General features: G+C 54.5%; 1 protein-coding gene across 5 annotated transcripts in view, besides 3 other annotated features; it reads right to left on the bottom strand.

The window, feature by feature from the left end:
* Positions 1 to 547: 547 nt before the first annotated feature.
* Positions 548 to 7,725, bottom strand: part of MSRA (methionine sulfoxide reductase A) — a 374,600-nt gene continuing 367,422 nt past the window's right edge. For all 5 annotated transcript variants that reach the window (NM_012331.5, NM_001135670.3, NM_001199729.3 and 2 more), the window contains one exon: positions 548 to 1,291. In NM_012331.5, the coding sequence (NP_036463.1) occupies positions 1,127 to 1,291 (165 nt within the window). In that variant the 3' untranslated portion in view covers positions 548 to 1,126. The remainder of the gene's footprint in view (positions 1,292 to 7,725) is intronic.
* Positions 3,067 to 3,576: an enhancer, noted in NCBI's record as "H3K27ac-H3K4me1 hESC enhancer chr8:10283373-10283882 (GRCh37/hg19 assembly coordinates)". NCBI's record gives its function as "activates a minimal SCP1, AML or CMV promoter by ChIP-STARR-seq in primed H9 embryonic stem cells {active_cell/tissue: H9 hESC(primed)}" and the evidence as "EXISTENCE:reporter gene assay evidence [ECO:0000049][PMID:30033119]".
* Positions 3,577 to 4,088: an enhancer, noted in NCBI's record as "H3K27ac-H3K4me1 hESC enhancer chr8:10282861-10283372 (GRCh37/hg19 assembly coordinates)". NCBI's record gives its function as "activates a minimal SCP1, AML or CMV promoter by ChIP-STARR-seq in primed H9 embryonic stem cells {active_cell/tissue: H9 hESC(primed)}" and the evidence as "EXISTENCE:reporter gene assay evidence [ECO:0000049][PMID:30033119]".
* Positions 6,022 to 6,522: an enhancer, noted in NCBI's record as "H3K4me1 hESC enhancer chr8:10280427-10280927 (GRCh37/hg19 assembly coordinates)". NCBI's record gives its function as "activates a minimal SCP1, AML or CMV promoter by ChIP-STARR-seq in naive H9 embryonic stem cells {active_cell/tissue: H9 hESC(naive)}" and the evidence as "EXISTENCE:reporter gene assay evidence [ECO:0000049][PMID:30033119]".

Genomic DNA, 7,725 nt, shown 5'->3' with positions numbered 1-7,725 from the left:
ACCAATCACACCTCTCTTCTTTATCAATTGCCCAGTCTCGGGCAGTTCTTTATAGCAACGTGAGAAGGGACTAACACATCAGGTCTCACCACCTTGCGAAGGCCTCCGTGACCAACCTCGCTAAAACACCCCTGAACACGATCTCACAGCCCCCAGACGCAACTGACTGCCCTAGCCCATTCATCATCTTCGCATCCCTCATCAGAACCTGACATCATCTTATTTCATCATTTCTTTCCATGTTTATGACTCCTTGTCTGGAATGTAAAGGTTCTTAAGGGCAGGGATTGAAGGGGTCTGCTATAACTAGAACAGCCTGTGACGTGAGGGATGCGACAGGCACCTGGAGAACAACTACTATTACTTAGGTTGCAAGGAGCTAGAGGTGTGCATGTTTACCAAAAATTTCATCCGAACTGTTCCCATTTGGAGGTAAACGGCTCTGAGGCTTTTTCCCTCCCAAGCTGTTTAGAGCTCTTAAATTCATCTTACAGCACTTAAAAATATTCTACCTAAGCAAGCCAAAGACAGAGGAGATGTCAGGCAGTTGGCATTATTGGACTGTAGGTTTTTATTAAAACAAACATTTCTCATAGCTCTAAGCAAAGCATTAGAATTCATCAAGCGGACTCACATCTTTTCTCTGCACAGAGAGGGCTGAAAAGGGAGAGAAAGCCCCTTATGTATGTCTAGATTTGGTAAAGCGAAGGATTTCAGCGAATGAGTCACTGAGGCTATACACGTTTGCAAATTGTAAGGCACTGGCGGGCAGAGAGCACAGATAAAGGACTTCTGGGGTCCCCCATCCTGTCCAGCAACCTCCCAGCTCACACCTTAGCTTCTACCAAGAAGGGTGAACACAGCATCCCTGCTATCTTCACTCAGACCCCAGAAGACACAGGAAACTGCACAGCTCCACTCCCACCATAACTTATTAGGAGATAAGTCACATTTTATCAACTTGCCATCGCGCCTCCTATAGATTATACTTCGGTAAACCCAATCTGTATAAATTCCTTTGTACTTTGTGCACTTTAAATGCCACGATTGTGAATCACACAAGCATTGCCCAATTTGTTGAAAGCATTTTTACTGGAACCTCAAAGGCCCACCATGTGGGGAGAAATTATTTTTTAATACCCACTGGGCAGGACACGCCGGTGCCCCCAAGGCCGCAGTAGCCATTGGGGTTCTTGCTCAGGTACTGCTGGTGGTAGTCTTCCGCATAGTAGAAAGTCTGTCCCTCCCGGATGTCGGTAGTGATGGGGCCGAAGCCGTGCTCTGAAAGAACCTGTGGGGACACAGAAAGGCGCCATCAGCTCCCATGCTAGAGAGACAGCACCTGCGAGGGGTGGCACTGAGGGGCCAGGGCTGCAGTGAGCAGACGCGTGGCTTGGGATGTGCAGTGGGTCCCCTTTAGGCCGGGCTCTCCGCATTCCAAGTGGAGTGACGCTGGGCAGGGACTTACCTTGCTGTGCCTCAGTTGACTGGGAACTGAAATCAGGTTTATATCAGATTTTTAAATCAGTAACTTACACTCTACCCCCACACCCCTGCCATCCCAAGTGCATGTTGGGGGCCCTGGTTTGGACGCTGTGGGTCTGTTTGAAACTGGCCCCAAAGCTCTCCCAGGGGAAACAGCAGGTAAGCATGGCTCCCTGGCTGTCCCCGAGGGTAAATGGATGTCCCTGAGAGGGCTCAGCAGGGCCACAGTGGGAGGGAATGAAACGGGTGGACAGGGTAGGGATGGACAGAATGGCTGCAGCTCTACCTGGCACTATCGCATCTGCCCACCAGCTCAGGAACAGGACCCCAGCCCACTCCCAGGATAGACAGAGTGTCCCCTCACTCGCTGTGGCTCTGGGGAGAAGGACCCTGCTGGCACGTCCTGGTGAGCAGGCGGTCGCTTGGGGTCTGTACTCTGAACTCCAGGCCAGGGAGCCTGGGGAGTCAGGGCAGGGCAGGATGTGGCCTGTGGCTCATCACCACCCTCTGCGTCCTAGTTTACGTCCCGGTGACATCTGCTGCCAGGGAAAGACACGCATCAACACAAGCTGGGAAAGGAGAGAGGGGCTATTTGGGGCAGGAGACAGACTAAGAAATAGACATTGCTCCCCGTGGATTTCAGCCTGCTTCTTCTCCCCTTTGGATTTCAGCTGTGCCCTAATTCTTTCCTGTTGCAGGCTGCTTGAAGCATGTGAGCACACGGCCACAGAGGCTCAACCCACTCTCACTGCCTCCATTCAGTAAAGAGCTGCAAAGCAGAGCCAGGACCCATGTTTTCACGAGGGGACCAACCACACTCTGACTGTCCACTGGTCCATGTGAGATGAAGTCTTCAAGTCTGCCAAGCACAGTGCATCCAATATTAATATTCAGCATGATTCACTGCGTCAGGTTTTTCTTGAGCAACGTCACTTATTTCCTGCATCTCTGTTTCGCCGTCTGAGCCAGCAGAAGGCCCAGCAGGTCCGGAACGACAAGGGGCAGGGTCCCCGCCAAGACGGGTGGGTTAGACCAGCCAGCTCAGAGGCAGCCAGTTTTCTTGCAGGGGTTAGGAATGAGAATGAGGAGCCATTCTAATGTCAGTTTTGACAATTTTTTGTAAACTAGCAATTATTGAGGGTCTACCATATGCCATGATCTGTGCAAAGACTTCACACATGTTAATTTTAGCCTCACAACAGCCACGGGAAGGAAGTCCTATTATTATCACCCATATTTAAAAGTGTGTATCAGATACTGTGCCTTGGTCCCTGACATTCTCAGCTCACCCTCGTACCGCACAGGCGGAAAGCTCGCAGACTGCATTCCCCAGATTCTGCTGCCAGCAAGGCCCTGCTTCAGATTCCACCAATCAGAGAAACTCACACGAAATTTGGCAGGCTACGTAAAAGAAGAAGCTATTCTTTGCAGGGCGCAGCTGTGAGGATGAGCGCAGGACTCTGCAGGAAGCAGACCCAAGACTCTGCCAGCTCCTCCTGGCCCTCTCCAGAGAGTCCGTGGAATGCCATCAGCAATGACTTTTGGCAATTTCAGTAACTTCTTGGTATCCTGAAATCTTGGGGTGCTTTTCCCTGACCTTCACGCGAACAGCCCTGCTAACGATTCTGTAAACACCGAATTCCTTCTGTAGAATCCATCCAGCTTGACGGAATGGAAGTTTTCTGTTTCCATGACCGGGCCCCAGCTCACACAGCATTTGGCTCCAGACTGTTTTCAGGGAACAGAACCTCTCTAAGAATGAGCACGTGGGGTTGGCTAACTAACAGGGGTAGATTTAGAGTTAGCAATGACCTCCTTGGAAATGGAGTATGTGCTGGCCGTGTGACTTGAACCATCGCTAGCATTTGCCTGTGAAGAGGCTGCCCACTGAAGGAAGGCTTTGGGATGCCAGGTGGCTGTGGAAATGGAATATTCTGGTGACAACAATAAGGACGACGTCTGTGGGGGGTGCCATCTGCTCCAGGCAGCACCAGAGAGTTTGGAGAAGAGAAAAAGGCACGGTGAGGGCCTGACATTCCTGGTCCAAGGCAAGTTCGGAGAACTGAGGGATGTAAAATAATCTGTCATCTCTTACAGCTGTATCCAAATAGCAAATAAAAAATCGGATCCCAAGGGCTCCGGGTTCACAACGCCAGTGGGATTCACAGGCTTACTTGGCCCAGAGCCCGGGTGTGCTCTTGCCCACAGGTGTGATCGTCCTCAGAGGACCTACCCACTCCGCGGCTGACACCGCCTGCTGAGACGGGCCTCGCTCCCGGCCCTGAGCTGCCTGTGCCTGCGTACTGGAGGCGTCCATGTTCTATGGCCACACCTGTGCAGACCTCCCAGCCTGCCTGTGTCTGAGATCCACCCTCTTCCCTGTCCTCCTAGGCACAAGGATGGCCTCCCAGGCACAGCTGCGGTCTCCAGAAGATTCTCTGAGCACAGCGTGGGAGGAAGTGGGTCCACGCAGGGAGGCCAGCGCCACTGCCCACCTCCCCTCCTCCTCCTCCCTTCGCAGCCACCTGCAGGCCCAGGGACCCCCTTGGGGAGCCCGGAAGGGAGGTTTGCCGGTGGGCCTCGGCAGTACCAGCCTCAGCCACAAGATGGCAGACACTTCACTAAGAAAAACCTCCAAGGCGAGCAGGGAAACCGCAGCCCACCCACGCCTCTGCACCGCCCTGGGCCTGGGACCTCATGGACGGGTCCTGTCGGGTGGCGGATAGAGGTGGCGGCCACCGGCCTGCGATGAGCGTGGCGTCAATCTGCAGGCTTCGGTTGTCCTTCCCAGCACTCTCCCCCATCCCCCCACCCACCGCCAAAACTGAGGGAAAGGACAAAAAAGAGACTAGGTGCGAAAGAAGGGGAAAGGGACCACGGAAGGTCACATCTAGTGTCTTCCTGGTCCCCCTTCGTCCGCTGCCTCACTTGCAAGTCACTCCCCTCGGACAACTCCATGCATTCTGCGAGGTCTCCCTCCGCCACTGTTCAGATTCACGTCTTGATTTCAGTGGGCTTCGCAGCCCCCCTGCTCCTTCGCTGTCCCCCGGGGTGGGCCCCGCTGTGTGCGGCACAAGTGACAGCATTAAGTTAATCATGACATCTCCCTCCAGGGCCCTGCAGGCTTGGCGATCTTCAAAGAGTGCACTGCCCTGACTGTTCACCAGGGAGCCTGGGAGATCTGGGCCTGCCCCAGCACCTCCCCTAACCCAGGAGGGGGCCTCTCCCTGGCCCCGAATCAGAACACCCCAGGCCTTTCTCTCCGATCCAACCCACCCCGGGCCCTTCTCCCCGTCCAGTTTAGCTCCGCCGCAGACCCTTCTCCCTGATCCCACTCCACCCTGGCCCCTTCTCCCTGTCCCTCTCCACCCCAGGCCCTTCTCCCGAATCCCACTCTATCCCGAGTCCTTCTCCCCATCCCACTCCACCCCAGGCCCTTCTCCCCGATCCTATTCCATCCCGAGTCCTTCTTCCCGTCCCACTCCACCCCGGGCCTTCTCCCCATTCCTGCTCCACCCCAGGCCCTTCTCCCCGATCCTATTCCATTCCGGGTCCTTCTCTCCATCCCACTCCACCCCGGGCCTTCTCCCCATTCCCGCTCCACCCCAGGCCCTTCTCCCTGATTCACCCCTCAGCATCGTCTCCCTCACCATCTTCTACCTTTTCAGCCTTTCCTTCCCCTCTGCGCACTATTTTCTTTGGTGTTGTTCATTTTTACCTGTTTCCCGAATGTTCCATTCCCTTGCACACGATCTCCAAGGAATGTCCTTTCCTCTTTTCCATCGCAGGAACTCCTATCCATCTCTGAGGACCCAGACCAAATGTCCCCACCTCTATGAAACCTGCCCGCTTCTTGAAGGCAGAAGCTGCTCCACATACTATGTTCGCGTGGCATCGCAATGCCCGACAGCGCTGATGACGCTGCATTACAAAAACCCTTCTGTTCTCCAAGCCACTTCCACTACCCAGGACTGTCTGTGTCTCTCCCTCATCTCGGGGCTTTGTGCACTGTGTGCAATTAATGAATGAATGAATGAATGAATGAGAAAATGAACTATGGATTCTTGGGATCTCCTGGAGATTCTCTCTGCTTCTGGATTCCACCTGGGTCCCTGTTGCTACCTCAAGACCCAGCACCTCCTCTAGGGCCTGGGAAGGAATGGTGGGAGGGAGAAGGGGACGACGGACTCAGGCAGCCACTTTCCGTGTCACAGAGTCCTGGCCAGTTCCATGGGCAGGTTCAGTCTTTAGATGGTGGCCCTGTGGTGCTGTGTCCTTGCAGGGAGCACAGAAGAATGCCTCTCTGTCATCCACGGCTCCTGAAAAAGCCCATTTGCTCTTCTGCAGGGAGAGTGGGGTGGTGCAGGAGCAGGGGGAGATAGGGGACGAAGACTGTCACCTCTGGGTTACAGATGGTTCCTCTGCTGCCACCCCCCCTCCCCGCCCCACCCCAAGTCCACTGGTCAACCTGGCACCGGGGCCAAGCTATGCAGGTGCCGGCATGGGTGCATGCCAGTCTCCTGAGCCCCCTTCCTGCACTATCAACACACACCAGGTGTCCCAGTCAGTGATGGGGCAGGGGTTCCTAGGTAGCGTGTTACTGATCATGGCTGACACACCAATGCTTGTGGTCATCTACTTTTCCTTAACGAATTGGAGCAGATGGAACGCCTTAGATCCGGATCTCGGTTTTACTGCCTCTCATTGGCCCTCAGGAGCAGGCAGGAGAGAACTGTCAGGAGAGCTGGAGAGGAGGAAGAGGGTGGGGACCCAGGTAATGCGCAGCCTGGTGGCCTCTCCCCTCTCCCGTCGTCCATGGGGAGGACCCATAAAAACGGCTGACCATTCGTGACTGCCGAGACAACTGCCCACATCACCTACTGAATCTTTAGGCGCCTTCCAATAAGGAGGCTGCACCCGTGACAGTGGGATGTCACCAGAAACACTGTGCTGGACAGAGGGAGGCAGGGCAGTGGCGCTCCGGCCTCAAGACCCAGGTGCCCTCAGGGGACTGTGCTCATCCTCCAGGCCCTATGGGGCCACTTTTGGGGATGGAGAATGAGTTCAGGTCATGACGGACTTGCCTGGTTGAAGTAACTGCCTAGATTGGTTCAAAAGCCTGGAAAGAGGTGCTCTTGCTGCTCAACCCCAGGGCCTGCCTCTGCATAGGGTAGCCCCGGCCCAGCTCCCTACTGCAGCCTGTGGGGCCAGGTACCCCCAGGGCTGTACTGACAGCCAGTCTCACATGCCCCTACCACGTTCCACTTCAGGGGAGGAATGACCTGAGCCTAGCTCCCGGCAACTTTTCTCTCTCTTACTGACTCCAAGTATCTTGACTTTTGCTTGTGGCATTTTTTTGTGTGTGTGTCTTGCTGACCTTTTAGAAAGAAGTCAGCAGGACTGCATACAGTAACACATGTGGGGCGACACCTGGCCCAGGGAATTTCTGGAAGGTCACCTAACAGAATTGGTCATTTGTGTTTTTCTCACAGACTCTTCCTCAATGACCCCAGGAAGCCTCCTGTGCCTTCCTTCTGTTGTCATTTTCTCCTTGGACTCAGCTTTTCTGCCTGTGAAATGGGCCCCTTACCTAGTTCACTGTGCTAGGACGAGGAATGCAGAGAGGGCACAGAAAGTGCACCATGCCCTGCCTGGCTTTTCTGTTGCTGAGACAGGGTCTTGCTCTGCCACCCAGGCTGGAGTACACTGGTGCAACCATGGTTGATGGCAGGCCCTACCTTCTGGGCTCAAGCGATCCTTGTACCTCAGCCCCTCCAGAAAAGCAGGGCCTACAAGTGCGTACACCACCATACCTGGCTAATTTTAATTTTTTTATAGAGACAGTGTCTCCCTATATGTTGTCCACGCTGGTCTCAAATTCCTGGCCTCAAACGATCCTCGCATCTTGGCCTCCCAAAGTGCTGGGATTACAGGTGTGAGCCACGACACAGCCTGCCTGGCGTGTTTTAACTACTGCAGAGTACTGGCTCCATTTCCCAAAAATCCCCACCCAGGGGTGAAAGCTAGCCTGCCTATCCTGCCCTCCTTAAGTAGCCCCCATTTCCACATTCCCCCATGGAATCCCCATTTCTATGGCTGAGCAGCAGATCTCTGGGGCAGGAAGGCGGGTAGGCATGTGTAAGTTGTGATGGAGCCCCCAGCCCCCTAGGCCTCATCCACCTCAGCTCGGTCTCCAGCTCCAGCGACTCATAGGAACACCACAGATGCACGAAAAGCAGC

The sequence above is a fragment of the Homo sapiens genome, chromosome 8 (assembly GCF_000001405.40).
Source record: "Homo sapiens chromosome 8, GRCh38.p14 Primary Assembly".
Taxonomy (NCBI): Eukaryota; Metazoa; Chordata; class Mammalia; order Primates; family Hominidae; genus Homo; species Homo sapiens.
Note: the sequence above shows the minus strand (reverse complement) of the source record. Positions and strands in the feature narration are given on the sequence as shown.